The 20,396-nt window shown below is 36.5% G+C and overlaps 1 protein-coding gene across 3 annotated transcripts in view; it reads left to right on the top strand.

The window, feature by feature from the left end:
- Positions 1-20,396, top strand: part of AP3B1 (adaptor related protein complex 3 subunit beta 1) — a 294,177-nt gene that overhangs the window by 111,037 nt on the left and 162,744 nt on the right. For all 3 annotated transcript variants that reach the window (NM_001271769.2, NM_003664.5, NM_001410752.1), the window contains exons 8-12: positions 2,000-2,155; positions 6,226-6,323; positions 7,824-7,878; positions 7,965-8,036; positions 17,990-18,052. In NM_001271769.2, the coding sequence (NP_001258698.1) occupies positions 2,000-2,155; positions 6,226-6,323; positions 7,824-7,878; positions 7,965-8,036; positions 17,990-18,052 (444 nt within the window). The remainder of the gene's footprint in view (positions 1-1,999; positions 2,156-6,225; positions 6,324-7,823; positions 7,879-7,964; positions 8,037-17,989; positions 18,053-20,396) is intronic.

Below are 20,396 nucleotides of genomic sequence, written 5' to 3'. Positions count from 1 at the left end.
CTGACCTCAGGTGATCTGCCCACCTCGGCCTCCCAGAGTGCTGGGATGACAGGCATGGGTCACTGCACCCAGTCTAGACTTTATAATTCTTTGCTAAAACCTTCTATTTCTGTATTTTTTACCAGGATGTTCTCAATTGCTCATCGAAGCATTTTTTAATGATTTTTAAAAAATAATCAGATCATTCCAATATCTCTATTATCTTGGTATTGGCATCTGCTAGTTATCTATTTTTATTCAGTTTGAGATCTTCCTTTCTCTTGGAATGATGAGTGATTTTTTAATTGAAACTTGGACATTTTGGATACTTTGAGACTGGATATTTTTAAACCTTCAGGTTAACTGGCTTTGTTTGATACCACTCTAGCAGGGAAGGGTGGTGGAAAGAGAGAGGGGTGCTGTCTCATCACTGCCAGGTCATAGCAGGAGTCCGGATTCCCTGCTTATCCTCCACTGACACTTCAGAGGGATTTTACTCATTGTTACCATAGGTGAATGTGGGATTTCTGGCTCCCCAACCGTCTTTCTCTGATAGCTGTCTGCTAGGAGGGATACAAGGTACTGTTCTATGTGTGTCCTTCCCTGACAACCACCAGGGTGTGGGCGGGGCTGACTTTGGTTACTACTAGGTGTGGTGCTGCAAGTCCTGACTATGCACTAGGCCTCCTCTGACATCATCACAGTGAGGAGGAATAAGGTCACCTTGACACTAATGGATGGGCTTAGAAGTCCAAGCTCCTCACTTGGTCTTCACTGACAATATCAGAATGCCTTGTTACCTCTTGGTAGAGATGAAACTCTCAATCCCATCTTGGCCTTTTCTGAAACCACCTAGTGAGGTGGTTGGGGCATCTCATTACAGCCTAATAAGGGTAGAAGTCTAGGATCACCATCTCAGCCTCTACTGGTGGGGATGGGGGTAGGGCCATAATTTTTTATCTGGTGTTGGGCTGCACTTGAGTAGTTACTTCTAAAAGTTTTATATCTTGCTAGACTGCCCCTTTCCTGGTCCTTTGGCTAGAGAGAGCGGTTCTGGTGGTTTCTTTCATCTGCATTTGTTGCCAGCTTCTGCACCGAGTTGTGGATATATGAAATAAAAAGAAAACCCAGGGAACTCACTGGTCTGTCTTTCTTTGGATCTTGAGGTTCCTATCCAGTGCTCCTCCTTTTTGCCTTTCAAAGTCTTCTTATGTTTGTTTTATATATGTTTTACATGTAGTGTTCTGCTTTTCTAGATCTCTACTTAGTGAGAGAGATGGGGAAAAGTACATCTACTCCATCTTCCTGGAAGCAGAAAGTATGTTTCAGATACTTGGTAACGGAAGTTACCTCTAAACAGAAGTTGAATTGGATGTATGTGGCTATTACTGTGTTTGTTTGGTTTTTTGTTTGTTTGTTTTGAGCACTAAATGCCTGTAGGCATATTTTATTGGCAGAGATAAAGAATTCAAAACAAAAACCTAGAATCAGCTCCTCTGGATATTTATAAATCTCAAACTGAGACGTTTTCTTGACAACTCAGGGACCTACTTAACAACACTAGTTTTTTCGTGTCACACTTTACTGTGATTTCTTTTATGTTACTATTCAAACAATGCTCCTCTTTTTTTGACTCTTTGATCTAGTTACAGAGTGGCTGACAATTTATGGAAATAGTTTTCAGGTTTTAGGTAGTATTATAGGCCTTGTTAAAATCTAACGGTCATGTGTTCCTTTTGAAGGACTATAGGTATTTCTATGGGGATTTAATAGTCAAAAATTTACTTTGTAATACAATAGAAGCACATCATCTATAGCACAGTAACTTGTTATAAAATATGAGAAAAATCAATAGACCTTTATTCGATATAGGTTGTGTAATATTTTTAAATTGCCCAAACAGAAGTATTCTACGGTAAAATGTTGTTATAGATGTTTAAAGGAAAGTTTTCTTTGACTATATAATATGCAGATTGCTCAAGGTCTAAAGTAATCTTGGGTTGGATTTCTTTCATTGTAGGGTGATGAATTAGAAGACAATGGAAAGAATTTCTACGAATCTGATGATGATCAGAAGGAAAAGACTGACAAAAAGAAGAAGCCGTATACTATGGATCCAGATCATAGACTCTTAATTAGAAATACAAAGCCTTTGCTTCAGAGCAGGAATGCTGCGGTATGTTAAAATCCTTATAAGAAATAATTCACTGGTTTTTAAAAAACAGCAATTAAAAATATCTCAATTTAGTAAGTGAGTCTGTGTGTGCTAATGGAGCATTTGTTTGTTTACACACCAAATGACATGTAATGGATAGTTGGAAGTACAGTGTGGAATGTAAGCTATAGATTTAGAGACCTAATGTCTGAGAAGTAATACCTAAATATATTTCAGCCTTCCATGTTTCCAGGTATACAGAGTTAGGTTTTGATGACAATACCTGGTTTGGCCTATTGGACTTCATTTACGTTTTAATGGTTTTGTTAATTGGCTTTTCTTAAGATATTTCTAAGTTGTTTCTCAATTGGTTGGATTATATTAGCTCTTATATAAGAACTATGTATATTTATCAGTTATTCCATTGTGATTGGGGGTACTTGATCTGGTATTAGTCCATACTGTTTGTATCTGTCTGATAGAATTTTTAAGAGACTAACAAAGGTAATGCCTCACATATTATAAATGTAAATTGGCAGTAATAGTAATTAAAAATCATCTTTATTTGGGTCATAAGGTTTTTTTTGTTTGTTCGACACCTTTTTGTTTATATAACCATTTATATTTTAGAAGAATACATGTGCACAATACAAAATTAGAAATTACAGGCTAGCAAAACTAAAAAGAAAATTAAAACATCACATTCTCAACACTCAGAAATCACTTATGTCTTAGTGTATTTTCTTCCAGATCTTTCTAATCTGCATAAGTGTACATATATTCATGGTTACACATACATATATATATATTTTTTAACCAAGATAAAAATCATACTGTACATAGCATTTTCTAACCTTTTTTTCTCTAGTCAGTCCTCTCTACTTTTTATTTTAATAAAATTTCATTTCATTTAATACCAATTGATCTTAAATTATTCTTTTTGGATGATTTATCCAAACCATTATCTAATGCATTGCATCTTTTAAAGCCTGTCAAGTCTTGCAGAATGTCCTTCTGGGTTTGTCTGATTGCTGCTGCTTCTTTTTATTTTGTTATTTTGTTTGCTATACCTACTGGAATGGGATGGTTGCATCTTTTATAGTGTCATTTAATTCTTTTATATTCTGTGTTTCCTGTTAACTGGCAGTTATATCCAAAGGCTTGACGGATTTAGGTTAAACATGTTCTTAAAGATTTTAATTGAGAAAGTATTCTTAATGAATTGTTCTGTTCAGAACAATTCTTAATGAATTGATTCTTGAGAATTTAGAGCTTACAGCTTTGTATATCCAAGTTATCAACAACAATTTTTGTCTAATACCTAATGGTTTAGTTTCCAAATCATTATTCAGTAATCATGCCTAGTCATAATGAAAATATTATTTCATGGCTGTTGTAAAATATGCTTATATTTTAATGTACTCAGCTTAGCCAGATGCTAGTTAGGTAGCTGTAATTTGCCATCTTAAGCTGTACTTTATGAGTGACTCACTGTTCATTTAACTAGGTCTTAGAAATTGATTTTATAGTTCAAATACTTATGGATCAAAAACGTTTTCAAATAGTGAAACAAATAGTGGCAGTTTGTACTTCTGGTCCCATTTTGTTTGGGTTCCCTGCTTACTTGATGCTGTAATAGAGGTGGTTTACTTTTTGTGTCAGTGTATTTTGGTACCTTGTTTTGGGATGCTGCTAAATATGAGTAAAGGCTAACTTTTGAAGAATTGTGGATAGATTTTTTTTTAACCTCGTACTTAAGTTTATGGAGAGACTTTGAGAATTTCTTTCAGGAAACATAATACATCATTGCTATGTAGTTTGTACTGGAGATAGATACTGAAAGCGGAATGTTAGGAGGCTATTCTAACAGTCTAAATAAGGTGACAGCGGCATGAATGGTTAAGAGTAGAAAAGTGTTTATAGGATGCGCTTTATTATGAACAGGCATGATGTAACTGTAGAAGGTCTATAAGGTTGTATATTTTTAGTCTTTTTGGATTTTGAAGTTTTGGGAACTTTTTTCATGGCGTTTACAAATTAGCCTATACATTTCAAATCTGGGTATCAAAGCGACTTTCAACTGTTGGATTTCTAAATACCGAGGAAAAAGAGGCTCATTTAGTCCTTTTGGATTTTGGAGTACCCTAATATATTAGAACAGATGGCATGCCAAATGGCAGCTAGAATTTTAAAGACATTGACATGTATAGGAAGTACAGTTTGCTTTCTTGCCAGTAGGATTGGACTTTTATTTGTAAGGGAAAAGGATTTACTATCTGTAAGATAGATTAAAATTAAGATTCAGCTTTCTTTTCTATCATTTACTAATACTTATTAGCCAGGTATATGCGTTAATATTTTTTTAAATGACTGATCTTGGATTAGGTCAATCATTAATTGAGATTCTTTTATTTTATAAGATTTAAAATTCAGGAGAGTTTATTTTGTAACCAACTTATATTTGCAGTTCACAAGTGAAGAAATGAGATATTCTTGCATTTTTTAAATTCTCAACTAATATCTTAAAGCTATAAATCAAACTTGTAAGAAAGTACAAGAAATGGCAAACAGTAAATTTAGGACCCTGTATACTGTATTTTTAAAAACGGTTCTTTAGTTTCAGAAGAAACTTTTTTTTTTAACCTCAAACATTCTTCTGTGCTGTATACTATTTAGGCATATATATTAATAGAATTTTTGCTATATATTTGTTCAAACTTCATAGACCAGGCAGAATTAAATTAATATTAGTGTGTCCTTTGAGCCAAAGGCAGCATTGGTAACATCTGTAGCTATGTCTCTGCAGTTGTCACTCTGAATCTGAGTGTAGAGGCACTTAGGGGAAACAGTACTCTTCTGTTTTGAGACAAAGAAATTCCAGTCACCCTTTGTTTGTTTTGTTTTGTTGAGACAGAGTCTCACTCCATTGCACAGGCTGGAGTGCAGTGGCATGATCTCGGCTCACTGCAACCTCTACCTCCTGGGTTCAATGATTCTCGTGTCCCAACCTCCCAAGTAGCTGAGATTACAGGTGTGCACCACCACGCTTAACCTAATTTTTGTATTTTTAGTAGAGATGGGGTTTTACCATGTTGGCCAGGATGCTCTCACACCTGACTGCAAGTGACCCACCTGCCTCGGCCTCCCAAAGGGGTGGGAGTACAGGCGTGAGCCACTGTGCCCAGTCTTTGAATCACCCTTATAATGGCTTTGAACCAGAAGCCATTTTTAAGGTTCTGTGTTTTTAAAAACAAGATTATTTTAAATGCTACTGCTGTAGATGTATTTGTTTTAATGGAGTTTCTTTAATTGTAACTTAAATGTGCTGAGTTTTCTTTATTTCAGCCTACTAGTTACTGTTATCCTGGCTTCATTTAGAAAGGCATGCTTATAATTCTTAAAAAGCCCCAGTCTCAGAGCAGCAGCTGAGGAGCATGGAATTTCGAGTGTCTTGAGCTTTGCCACGTACTAGCTGTTACACCTTGAGCAGTTCATTCAGTGTCTCTTTTTTTTTCTGAGGATGTATTCTTTTCATAGCACTGCCATACATATTGCCACAAACTGAGTGGATTAAAACAACAGAAATTTATTCTGTCACATTTCAGGAAGCCAGAAGTCTGAAATCAAGGTATAATCAGTATTGGTTACTTCTGTACGCTCTGAGGGAGAAACCTTCTCTTTCCTGGCTTCTGGTGATTGCCAGCAATCCGTGGCATTGCTTGGCTTATGGGTGTATCACACTAATTATCTCCATCTTCACATGGCCTTCACGGTGTCTCTTTTTGTCCTTTTTTTTTCTCTTATAAGGACACGTTCATTCGATTTAGGGCTCTTAACCAGCATGATGTCATTTCAATTCTTATATTAATAATTTCTGCAGAGATCCCACTTCCAAATAAGATCAGATTCTGAGGATAGTATTGGGCACTGGGAGTGGGGGACACTTCTTCAACTCACTACGAAGAGTAACATTCCATTTTACGTCACAGGAATTTGTAGGACTTAGAGGAAATAATGTGTAGGAATGGATTTTGAGGTTGTAGAGTGCTCTAGTGTTCATAGTTCTGTTATTTTTATGCTTTATCTTGTAGGTGGTTATGGCAGTTGCTCAGCTGTATTGGCACATATCACCAAAATCTGAAGCTGGCATAATTTCTAAATCACTAGTGCGTTTACTTCGTAGCAATAGGTAGGTCATGATTTTATATATATTTTTTCTTTTGTATTCCTTCAAAAGTAATGTTTGAACAAATGTAATCTTTCAGGCATTTAATATATAACTCTGACTATATTTTAATCAATCGATCAGTAAGATTTCATACTTAAGGGGATTATTATAAAAGTCTTTATGCATTTATCTCAAACTTAATGATAAATACTGAAACTTTTTAACCTCAAGCCCAAAGATATTGAAAATATTTTGTGGCATAACACTAGAGTGTCACTAGTAGCCTAGTATTAGTGTTTGAAATTTTTAGGTATGGCAATAATGATGTTTGGGAGTTTTGGTAAATCTGGAATCACTGAAAAACTATACTGAAGTACTATCAGATTGACTTACTCAATGTATTAATACATGGTTTTATATAGAGCAATGTGTATGCTAAGTAATGTAGTTTATGCCAGAATTGTGCTTCCTATAAAGCTGGAATATTTAATTACTATGCTTTGCTCCACTCTAAAAAGAGAGCTGTGTTTTTAATAGCTACTCATTTTAAAGATTGCATACTCTTAGTTTCAGATAGACAGACAGAAAGAGCATGCCACCTTCTTTGATTTTACCTCTTTATAATTTAGTGGTTTAGGTTAACGATTCAAAACAATTTATTGAGTTTCCATGACATATAACATGAGAATCATGATTTCAGGTTTAATTCAGACATTTGTTTCTGTGTTTAAGAATACCTTCATTTCAGCTATTTGACATACCTTAGCTATTTTTCAGTAATTAGTTGTTTTAATTTGAAACAATGTTTTTCATTGAGTGCTTGTTTCCACTAATTGCGTTGGAAGGAAAAAACTATGTATTTATTTTTGCCCTTAACTGGAACTTAGTCCACAATTGTAGCTCTTGACTGGCTTAGTAACAAATGAGATGCCATTTCCTTTGTGTTCCTATTCTCCCTATCTGTATATCCAGCTATTATTTTTCTCTTTTGCTAGTTCAATACTTTTTTTTTTTTTCCTATGGCTAGTTCAAAAGATATCAGAAAGACCTGGAATTGGTCTTTCACATGAAGCCTTATACCAGATTCAGTTCATTTATTAGATATTTGGGTCTAAAAATAACATGACTACTTTTAAAATCTGGCCTTTGCCCTGGGAAGAATGAGTTATTTAATGAGTTTATAATAACAGTGTGGTCCTATCTACCCCTATTAACCCTAAGAATACCTTCCTTGGATGTGTTCAAAGCAGGTACAATGTTAACTTCATATTTTAGGAGCACTTTATTATAAAATTTGTTTTAACTATTCTTCATGATGAATCACGTCTAATTTATTGGTATTTTATAGGAAAAGTGCGTTAAAAAGACACACATCTAAGATTTACTAAAAACTTTTCATTATTACATTTAAGAGTCTCATTCACTTGAAATTATTGCTAATTCTTTGTCATTATTGTAGTGCTTACTCAAAGATGTTTCATTGGAACATATACCCAGTAAAAATTATCTTTTGATTTCTAGGGAGGTGCAGTATATTGTCCTACAAAATATAGCAACTATGTCAATTCAAAGAAAGGTATGTATGTTCTGAACACGTAATTTAAGAGACACATGAACACATTAGTACCATAATGTATTTTTGTATTTATTTTTGTAATCCAGGGGATGTTTGAACCTTATCTGAAGAGTTTCTATGTTAGGTCAACTGATCCAACTATGATCAAGACACTGAAGGTATGTATGCTTTCATTTTTCAGAGGCTTTTAACACATTTGTTTTGAAGAGATATTTCTATAGCTTTTAGCACCTGTGGGATGCAGTCCTGCTTTTCAAAACACATTGATAAAGTTAATGGTTTTTCTTTATACTTTTCAATCTATATTATTATATACTAATTACTGTACTACATTCTGATAATGTAAAGTTAAGCCATGCTACCTACAACTTGAATAACTCACAGATTACTGAAGGAGACAGGCATTTAAATAAATAACTTTGGAGATTTGTTCCAAGATGGCCAAATAGGAACAGCTCCAGTCTGCAGCTCCCACCATGATTGACACAGAAGATGGGTGATTTCTGCATTTCCAACTGAGATACCTGGTTCATCTCACTGGGACTGGTTGGACAGTGGGTGCAGCCCCAGAGGGTGAGCTAAAGCAGAGTGGGGCGTTGCCTCACCCAGGAAGCACAAGAGGTCGGGTGATTTCCCTTTCCTAGCCACGGGAAGCCGGGACAGACTGTACCTGGAAAAACGGGACACTCTCACCCAAAAACTGCGCTTTCCCAAGGTCTTAGCAACCGGCAGACAAGGGGATTCTCTCCCATGCCTGGCTCAGCAGGTCCAACGCCCACAGAGCCTTGCTCACTGCTAGCGCAGCAGCCTTAGATTGAATTGCGAGGCAGCAGCCTGGCTTGGGGAGGGGCATCCACCATTGCTGAGGCTTGAGTAGGTAAACAAAGCGGCTGGGAAGCTTGAATTGGGCGGAGCCCACCACAGCTCAGCAAGGCCTACTGCCTCTATAGACTCCACTCTGGGCAAGGCATAGCTGAACACAAGGCAGCAGACAACTGCAGACATCAGTGTACCTGTCTGACAGCTCTGAAGAGAGCAGTGGTTCTCCCAGCTTGGTGTTTGAGCTCTGAGAACAGACAGATGGCCTCCTCAAGTGAGTCCCTGACCCCCGTGTAGCCTAACTGGGAGACACCTCCCACTAGGGGCCGACAGACACCTCATATAGGTGGTTGCCCCTCTGGGACGAAGCTTCCAGAGGAAGGACCAGGCAGCAATATTTGCTGTTCTACAGTATTTGCTGTGCTGCAGCATTTGCTGTGCTGCAGCCTCCGCTGGTGATAACCAGGCAAACAGGGTCTGGAGTGGACCTCCAGCAAACTCCAACAGACCTGCAGCTGACGAACCTGACTGTTACAAGGAAAACTAACAAACAGAAAGGAATAGCATCAACATCAACTAAAAGGATATCCACACCAAAACCCCATCTCTAGGTCACCAACATCAAAGACCAAAGGTAGTATAAAACCACAAAGATAGGGAGAAACCAGAGCAGAAAAGCTGAAAATTCTAAAGACCAGAGGACCTCTTCTCCTACAAAGGATTGCAGCTCCTCACCAGCAACAGAACAACGCTGGATGGAGAATGACTTTGATGAGTTGACGGAAGTAGGCTTCAGAAGGTCGGTAGTAACAAACTTCTCCGAGCGAAAGGAGCATGTTCAAACCCATCTCAAGGAAGGTAAAAACCTTGAAAAAAGGTTAGACAAATGGCTAACTAGAATAAACAGTGTAGAGAACACCTTAAATGACCTGTTGGAACTGAAAACTGTGGCACGAGAGCTTTGTGACACATGCACAAGCTTCAATAGCCGATTCGATCAAGTGGAAGAAAGTGTATCCATGATTGAAGATCAAATTAATGAAAAAAGTGAGAAGACGAGGTTATAGAAAAAAGACTTAAAAGAAATGAACAAAGCCTCCAAGAAATAACAGACTGTGGGAAAAGACCAAATCTGCATTTGATTGGTGTACCTGAAAGTGACGGGGAGAATGGAACCAAGTTGGAAAACACTCTGCAGGATATCATCCAGGAGAACTTCCCCAACCTACCAAGGCAGGCCAACATTCAAATTCAAGAAATACAGAGAACACCCCAAAGATACTCCTCGAGAAGAGCAACCCCAAGACACATCTCACCTGCAGGGACACACATAGGCTCAAAATAAAGGGATGGAGGAAGATGTACCAAACAAATGCAAAGCAAAAAAAAAGCAGGAGTTGCAATCCTAGTCTCTGATAAAATAGACTTCAAACCAACAAAGATCAGAAGGCCATTACATAATGGTAAAGGGATCAATTCAACAAGAAGAGCTAACTATCCTAAATATATATGCACCCAATCCAGGAGCACCCAGATTCATAAAGCAAGCCCTTAGAGACCTACAAAGAGACTTAGACTCCCACACAAAAATAATGGGAGACTTTAACACCCCACTGTCAATATTAGACAAATCAACGAGACAGAAGGTTAACAAGGATATCCAGGCCTTGAACTCAGCTCTGCACCAAGCAGACCTAATAGACATCTACAGAACCCTCCATCCCAAATCAACAGAATATACATTCTTCTCAGGACCACATCACACTTATTCTAAAATTGACCACATAGTTGGAAGTAAAGCACTCCTCAGCAAATGTAAAAGAACAGAAATCACAACAAACTCTCACAGCACAGTGCAATCAAATTTAGAACTCAGGCTAAGAAACTCACTCAAAACTGCACAACTGCGTGGAAACTGAACAACCTGTTCCTGAATGACTACTGGGTAAATAACGAAATGAAGGCAGAAATAAAGCTGTTCTTTGAAACCAATGAGAACAAAGACACAACATACCAGAATCTCTGGGACACATTTAAAGCAGTGTGTAGAGGGAAATTTATAGCACTAAATGCTCACAAGAGAAAGCAGTAAAGATCTAAAATCGACACCCTAACATCACAGTTAAAAGAACTAGAGAAATGAGAGCAAACACATTCAACAGCTAGCAGAAGGCAAGAAATAATTAAGATAACGAAATACCCTTCAATAATAACGAAATACCCTTCAAAAACGAAATACCCAATAACGAAAAACCCTTCGAAAAATCAATGAATCCAGGAGCTGGTTTTTTGAAAAGATCAACAGAATTGATAGACTGCTAGCAAGACTAATGGAGAAAAGAGAGAAGAATCAAATAGATGCATTAAAAAATGATAAAGGAGATATCACCACCAATCCCACAGAAATATAAACTACCATCAGAGAATACTATAAATACCTCTATGCAAATCAACTAGAAAATCTAGAAGAAATGGATAAATTCCTGGACACGTACACACTCCCAAGACTAAACGAGGAAGAAGTTGAATCTCTGAAGAGACCAATAACAGGCTCTGAAATTGAGATAATAATAGCCTACCAACCAATAAAGTCCAGGACCAGACGGATTCACTGCCGAATTCTACCAGAGGTACAAAGAGGAGCTGGTGCCATTCCTTCTGAAACTATTCCAATCAATAGAAAAAGAGAGAATCCTCCCTAACTCATTTTATGAGGCCAGCATCATCCTGATACTAAAGCCTGGCAGAGACACACACAAAAAAAGAGGATTTTAGACCAGTATCCTTGATGAACATAGATGCGAAAATCCTCAATAAAATAATGGCAAACCGAATTCAGCAGCACATCAAACAGCTTATCCACCACAGTCAAGATGGATTCTTCCCTGGGATGCAAGGCTGGTTCAACATATGCAAATCAATAAATGTAATCTATCACATAAACAGAACCAACGACAAAAACCACATGATTATCTCAATAGATGCAGAAAAGGCCTTTGGCAAAATTCAACAGCCCTTCATGCTAAAAACACGCAATAAACTAGGTATTGATGGAATGTATCTCAAAATAATAAGAGCTATTTATGACAAACCCACTGCCAATATCATACTGAATGGGCAAAAACTGGAAACATTCCCTTTGAAAACTGGCACAAGACAATTATGCCCTCTCTCACCACTCCTACTCAACGTGGTGTTGGCAGTTCTGGCCAGGGCAATCAGGCAAGAGAAAGAAATAACGGGTATTCAATTAGGAAAAGAGGAAGTCAAATTGTCCCTGTTTGCAGATGACATGATTGTACATTTAGAAAACCCCATCGTCTCAGCCCAAAATCTCCTTAAGTTGATAAACAACTTCAGCAAAGTGTCTCAGGATAAAAACTCAATGTGCAAAAATCAGAAGCATTCCTATAGACCAAGAACAGACAAACAGAAAGCCAAATTAATGAGTGAACTCCCATTCACAATTGCTATGAAGAGAATAAAATACCTAGGAATCCAACTTACAAGGGATGTAAAGGACCTCTTCAAGGAGAACTACAAACCACTGCTCAGTGAAATAAAAAAAGGACACAAACAAGTGGAAGAACATTTCACGCTCATGGATAGGAAGAATTAGTATAGTGGTAATGGCCATACTGCCCAAGGTAATTTATATATTCAATGCCCTCCCCATCAAGCTACCAATGACTTCCTTCACAGAATTGGAAAAAACTACTTTAAAGTTCATATGGAACCAAAAAAAAGCTCACATTGCCAAGACAATCCTAAGCAAAAAGAACAAAGCTGGAGGCATCACGCTGCCTGACTTCAAACTATACTACGAGGCTACAGTAACCAAAACAGCATGGTACTGGTACCAAAACAGATATATAGACCAATGGAACAGAACAGAAGTCTCAGAAATAACACCACATATCTACAACTATCTGATCTTTGACAAACCTGATAAAAGCAAGCAATAGGGAAAGGATTCCCTATTTAATAAATGGTGCTGGGAAAACTGGCTAGCCATATATAAAAAGCTGAAACTGGATCCCTTCCTTACACTTTATACAAAAAATTAATTCAAGATGGATTAAAGACTTAAATGTTAGAGCTAAAACCATAAAAACCCTAGAAGAAAATCTAGAGAATACCATTGAGGACATAGGCATGGGCAAGGACTTCATGACTAAAACACCAAAAGCAATGGTAACAAAAGCCAAAATAGACAAATGGGATCTAATTAAACTAAAGAGCTTCTGCATGGCAAAAGAAACTTCCTTCAGAGTGAACAGGCCACCTACAGAATGGGAGAAAAATTTTGCAATCTACCCATCTGACAAAGGGCTAATATCCAGAAAAAACAAGAAAAGAGCAACCCCATCAGAAAATGGGCAAAGTATATGAACAGACACTTCTCAAAAGAAGACATCTGTGCAGTCAACAGACACATGAAAAAATGCTCATCCTCATTGGTCATCAGAGAAATGCAAATCAAAACCACAATGAAATACCATCTCACACCAGTTAGTATGGCGATCATTAAAAAGTCAGGAAACAACAGATGCTGGAGAGGATGTGGAGAAATAGAAACACTTTTACACTGTTGGTGGGACTGTAAACTAGTTCAACCATTGTGGAAGACAGTGTGGTGATTCCTCAAGAATCTAGAACTAAAAATATCATTTGACCCAGTGATCCCATTACTGAGTATATACCCAAAGGATTATAAATCATGCTACTATAAAGACACATGCACACGTATGTTTATTGCGGCACTATTCACAATAGCAAAGACTTGGAAGCAACCCAGATGTCCATCAATGATAGACTGAATTAAGAAAATGTGGCACATATACACCATGGAATACTATGCAGCCATTAGAAAGGATGAGTTCATGTCTTTTGCAGGGACATGGATGAAGCTGGCAACCGTCATTCTCAGCAAACTGTCACAAGGACAGAAAACCAAATATTGCATGTTTTCACTCATAGGTGGGAAGTGAACAATGAGAACACTTGGACACAGGGCCGGGAACATCACACACCGGGGCCTGTCAGGGGTTTGTGGGCTGTGGGAGGGATAACATGAGGAGAAATATCTAAAGTAAATGACGAGTTGTTGGGTGCAGCAAACCAACATGGCACATGTATACCTATGTATCAAACCTGCACGTTGTGCACATATACCCTAAAACTTAATGTATAATAATATAAATAAATAAATAAATAAATAAATAAATAAACTTCAGGGCTTGGCACAGTGGCTCATGCCTGTATTGCTAGCACTTTGGGAGGCTAAGGTGGGAGGATTGCTTGAGGCCAGGAGTTCGACACCAGCTTCGGCAACATAGTGAGACTCTGTCTCTTTAAAAAAATCAAAATTAGCCAGGCGTGGTGGCCGATGTCTGTAATCTTAGCTACTTGGGAGGCTGAGGTGGGCAGATTGCTTGATCCCAGAAAGTTGAGGCTGCAGTGAGCCATTGATCATGCCACTGCACTCCAGCCTGAGACCCTGTCTCTAACTAACTTATTTTAGTACTGTGTGTTTTAAGTAATACAGATATTTGAATTGAGTGTTGTGAAGAACAGAAAGGTGGAGCTAATTCTATGAGAGGTTTAGAAAAGATGATGTTTGGGTGGATCTTAAAAGAATAATATTGTGAATTTTTTTCTTGGTTGGCAGGTTGATTGGGAGGTCGAAGGGTTAGAGTAGGTGAAAAACATAATTCATGCTAACACAAGGGATTATGAAAGAGCATTGTTTTCAGGAAGTAATAAGTATGGCATAGAGTGCAGTTAGGAATATAAATCTATAGTGATTAAAATAGTGTGATATTTAGACAGAAAAGTAAGTGGAAAGAGTAGAAAGCCTAGAAATGTGCCCATACACGCAAAAATGTACCATATAGTAGAGGAGATATTACAAACCAATGAGGAAAGGATGGACTATGGACTATTCAAGACTGTTCAATATTAGAATGATGTATTATTCATATGAAAACTGAGTTTAATAATAAAATCTAAATTATACCCAAATTCAAGGATATTTTATCAAAAAAACCTGGTTTATAATTAGCGAAAATGTCAAGGTCATATAAGTTAAAAGAAAGACTAAGAAACTGTTTCAGACCAAAGGAGACAACTTAATACAGTATGTGATATTGAACTGGATCCTTTTATTATACATCATTGAGACAGTTATTGAAACTTACGTGCATAGTGACAATTGTGTGAAAGTAATGCATCAGTTTAATGACCTGATTTTCTTCGTTGTACTGTAGTCTGTGGAACATGTCCTTGTTTATAGGAAATATACATAGAAGTTTTTGGGGATAATGTAGCATCAGATTGGCATCTATCGTCTCAAATCGTTCAGAAAAACAACAGCAACAGTTCTTTGTACTATACGTGTAGCTTTTTCCTATGTTTGAGATTGTTTTTTAGAAGTTGTCCAGCTGGATGCAGTGGTTCATGCCTATAATCCTAGGACTTTGGGAGGCTGAGGCAGGAGGATCGCTTGAGCCTAGGAGTTTGAGACCAGCCTGAGCAACACAACGAGACTCCGTCCCTACAAAAAAATTTAAAATAAGCTGAGCTTGGTGGTATGCACCTGTAGTCCCAGCTACTTGGGAGGCTGAGGTGGGAGGATTGTTTGAGCCCCAGAGGTTGAGGCTGCAGTGAGCCATGATCATACCACTGCACTCCACCCTCGGTGACAGAGTAAGACCTTGTCTCAAAAAAAAAAAAAAAGAAAAAAGAAAAAAGTTGTCTAAAAGTTAAAATATAGTTATCAAAATAAAATTAAAAATTAAAAGATTATCTGGGAAAAATATTTCTAATACATGTGTCTGAATAAATGATTTGTACTCAGAATATGTAAAGAACTCCTCCTACAGTCTTTGCCTTCTAATTGGAGCGTTTAGATCATTTGCTGTTTTATTTTTTTTGTTTTTTTTTTTTTTTCAGTAGGTTTTTGGTGAACAGGTGGTGTTTGGTTACATGCATAAGTTCTTTAGTGGTGATTTCTGAGATTTCGGTGCACCCGTCACCCAAGCAGTGTACACTGTACCCAATGTGTAGTCTTTTATTCCTCACCACCCCCCACCCTTTCCCCTGAGCCCCCAAAGTCCAGTGTATTATTCTTATGTCTGTGCATCCTCATAGCTTAGCTCCCACTTATGAGTGAGAACATACGATGTTTGGTTTTCCATTCCTGAGTTACTTCACTTAGAATAATAGTCTCCAATTCTATCTAGTTTCTGTGAATGCCATTATTTTGTTCCTTTTTTATAGCTGAGCAGTATTCCATGGTGTGTATGTGTGTGTGTGTGTGTGTGTGTGTGTATATATATAACATGTTCTTTATCCACATGTTGATTGATGGGCATTTGGGCTGGTTCCATATTTTTGCCATTGCAAATTGTGCTGCTATAAACGTGTGTGCAAGTATCTTTTTTGTATAATGTCTTCTTTTCCTCTGGGTAGATACCTACTGGTGGGATTGCTGGATCAAACAGTAGTTCTACTTTTACTTTTTTAAGGAATCTCCACACTGTTTTCTTTAGTGGTTGTACTAGTTTACGTTCCCACCAACAGTGTAAAAGTGTTCCCTTTCACCACATCCATGCTAACATCTATTATTTTTTGATTTTTTGATTATGACCATTCTTGGTGGAGTGAGGTGGTTTCACACTGTGGTTTTGATTTGCATTTCCCTAATAAGTAGTGATGTTGAGCATTTTTCCATGTGCTTCTTGGCCGTTTGTGTATCTTTGAGAATTGTCTATTCATATCCTTTGCCCACTTTTTGGTGGGATTGTTTTTTTCTTGCTGATTTGTTTGTGTTCTTTGTAGATTCTGGATATTAGTCCTTTGTCAGATGTATAGACTGTGAAGATTTTCTCCCACTCTGTGGGTTGTCTGTTAACTCTGCTGATTATTTCTTATGCTGTGCAGAAGCTTTCTAGTTTAATTAAGTCCCATCTATTTATCTTTGTTTTTGTTGCATTTGTTATTGGGTTTGGGTCATGAAGTCTTTGCCTAAGCCAGCGTCTAGAAGGGTTTTTCCGATGTTATCTTCTAGAATCTTTATGGTTTCAGGTCTTAGATTTAAGTCTTTGATCCATCTTGAGTTGAATTTTGTGTAAGATGAGAGATGAGGATCCAGTTTCATTCTACTACATGTGGCTTGCCAATTATCCTGGCACCATTTGTTGAATAGGGTATCCTTTCCCTATTTTGTGTTTCTGTTTGCCTTGTCAAAGATCAGTTGGCTCTAAGTATTTGGCTTTATTTAATGTAGTTTATTGATATGAATGTATTTATGTTCACATCTTGATTTGCTTCTGTTTGTCTCTTCTATTTTTTTGTGATTTTCTTAAGACTAAATATTTTTTATTAGTAAAAATTTTTTTTCACAAGCCCATTGGAGATTACACATTGTTTATATCTATAAATCCAGAAGAGAGAATTAAAATGTCTGAGTATTTGGGATGGTAGACTATAGGAGAACAAATCAAAAGAATTAATTGGTATCTGGAAAGCAGATGTATTAACATGGAGGGCAAATTGTTTTCTAACTTTACTAAAAGACAAAAAGCCAAACTAGCAGAATTGTTTAGGTTAATTAGATATAAATTATAAGTTTGTATTGGGCAGACAATTAGTGAAGATGTAGAATTCTCCTTTTCCGAATTGTTTTCAAAGAACTAGTAATTGTCTAATATCTGTTTGTGGACATAAGAAGGTAGACTAAGTTGACCTGAAGGGTATAATGCCTTACCACATTGGCGACAATATGATTTGTGTGTGTGTGTGTGTGTGTGTGTGTGTGTGTGTGTGTGTGTGTGTGTGTGTGTGACAGAGTTTCAGTCTTGTTTCCCAGGCTGGAGTGCAATGGCGCGATCTCGGCTCACTGCAACCTCTGCCTCCTGGGTTCCAGCAATTCTCCTGCTCACTGCAACCTCTGCCTCCTGGGTTCCAGCAATTCTCCTGCCTCAGCCTCCCAAGTAGCTGGAATTACAGGCATGCACCACCATGCACCACCATGCCCGGCTAATTTTGTATTTTTAGTAGAGACAGGGTTTCTCCATGTTGGTCAGGCTGGTCTTGCACTCCCAGCCTCAGGTGATCCGCCCGCCTCGGCTTCCCAAAGTGCTGGGATTACAGGCATGAGCCACTGTGCCCGGCTGACAATGTGATTTTTAAAAGTAGAAATAAACTTTCAATTAAATGTCTGTACTCTATTAAATTCATCTTGCTACCTTTGTTTTAAAATGTTTACTTTCTCTTTTCTCTACTATAGCTTGAAATTTTGACAAACTTGGCAAATGAAGCCAACATATCAACTCTTCTTCGAGAATTTCAGGTTTGTGTACAGTGCTAATTATAAAAAACTTCTAAAACATATGTTCAGTCTTAAATATGCATCTTTTTCTATCTAGAAATATGTAATTATGTACATAAAATAGTGATTGGGACAAGACTGACAACTAAGAAATTCATAAATTTGCAAGAATAAACTAATTACAATTTATAATTTAAGGAAAACATAGTATTCTCTTTCATATTTTCATAGACTTTGAAGGACTTTGGTTTATAACTCTGTCTTTGTTTGAAATTGTATTTCTGGTAAGAATTTCATCTTTTTGTGCTGCCAGCATCAATAGTCCTTTCTATATTCTGTGGTCATGAAAACGGTTTCATTTCTTACCTGGTTGTTCCCATTTTATTGACCTATGACTATTTTTGACACTGCCCCCTTAGCCTCATATATAGCTCAAAAAAATTTGTTTCATAATTGCCCCACTACGATTTTTTAAATTGCTGTTTTTTATTTTGATTTGTTTAGTTGTATTTTTATGCCTTATGAGACTCTTCCTAGCTGCATTTCCCCCCAAAATATTATTCAAAAATTACTTCATGGACATGATACCCTTTATGATGGAAAGGTCATCTCTGAAGCCTTAGTTGTAGAGCACAGCAATAGAAAACTTTACATCAGTATTATGACTTTTATATTCCACTATCTGTTTTCTTAACAAAAATATACCACATACTATGCACTAATCACAGAGTTTTTCTTTTATCAGCTTCCAACTTTTAGAGATGTATTTTTTGCCATAGTTCTCCTATATGCCAATATTAAATTTCTTCTTGGTTATAAGACACTGTATACACGATTTCTTTTTAGCTATGTGATTTTTAAACTTTTTACAGGAATAGTAGAATAATATGGCATGTCCATAATTTATATTTTCATACCTGGATTACTCCACTTTTATGTTGTGTATCTTTCTAGACAAATTTCTTAAAAAATTAAGATGTTCTAGAAAATATACTATTTTATGTTATTATTCAGTAATCTTATAGCTGCAGATCATTGCTTGAATCTGATTTTCACTTCATTCCTATAATTTTATTTATTTAAAGTATTGGTCTTTGTGTTTTTTCTTGTTCCTTTCCTGTTGTCCTATCTAGTCTCTTTGGGTGTCCTCTCACTGTCCAGTTTTTGCTTATATCAAGTCTCCTGGGATTGTAGGAAAGGAGACTTAGGTAATGTTATGGAATGGGTTGTATAGAGGGCACATACTAGACCTGTTTCAAAATATTGGTCATCTAGTCTTTTCATTTAATATCAGGATGTTTAATAAGGTCCATTTTTCAGTCAAACTTTTAAGTATTTTTTTCATGTATTCATTTTTATCACTGTCTAAATTTGTACCTTCTGTCTATGTTTGTGTTATGCTCATAGTTACGCTTTTAGTAACTTTTTGGGTAAAATAGGGAATGTTTCTAAAGACTCATAAGTTCATATTTTTCTTTAAGGAAATTAAATAATTTATTTGGGAACACTTTTAAATATAATTGGTCTTGCCTTCATGGAACTAGGAGAGTTTAATTAATTTAATTTATTTGTTCAATGTTTAATCACCTGGTTGGTACCATTTTTAGCAAATTTGTATTTTTTTAGACATCTTTAGGTTTTCTCCTCCATTTGTCATTTAGACACCACTTAAATGTATTGCATTTTTCATAGTGTTAAGTCTACATTGTATACTTCTTATTTGAGGTTGGGAATCTTTCTTAAAAATTTCGATTGTAAATGACCTTTCAAATTTCATGTATATGATACAAAGTGTGTATATTTCTGTAAACAATAGAAGCTTTCCTCATTTAAAAATTAGGAAGGTTCTAAGCAAAGTGAAATTCTCTAGGGCCATTATAAAATTTATAAAGATATTTTAACTTCCTGTTGTTAAATCAGTGATTTATTTCTTTATTTTTAAATTTGTGTGTGTGTATATATATATGTGTGTGTGTGTATATATATATATGTATACTATATATATACTATATATACACACACACACATATATATATATACACACACACACATATACCCTTTACAGTATATTTTTAAAGCATACTTTTAAAGAAAATCTATTTCAAAAGTATGGTATTTTATTTTATTATAAACTGAGTATTTGAAGTATTTATTGAAATACTGTTCACCGTAACTATTATTCTTTTACAACCATTGTGATAGATTTTGAAATTAAAATGTTTGTAAATAGCCTACTGGTCCCTTTCTTCCTTTTCTCCCAGTTTTTAGATTTAGTGTCTCTGAAAAAGTGACCCTTTTTTTCATAGATTCACAGATGCTGCTGGTAAATGAACTGAAACCTCCAAAGAGAGAGCTCTCATCATCT

Source organism: Homo sapiens, chromosome 5 (genome assembly GCF_000001405.40).
Source record: "Homo sapiens chromosome 5, GRCh38.p14 Primary Assembly".
Taxonomy (NCBI): Eukaryota; Metazoa; Chordata; class Mammalia; order Primates; family Hominidae; genus Homo; species Homo sapiens.
The sequence above is the reverse complement of the archived record's forward strand: the minus strand, read 5'-3'. Positions and strand labels throughout refer to the sequence as shown.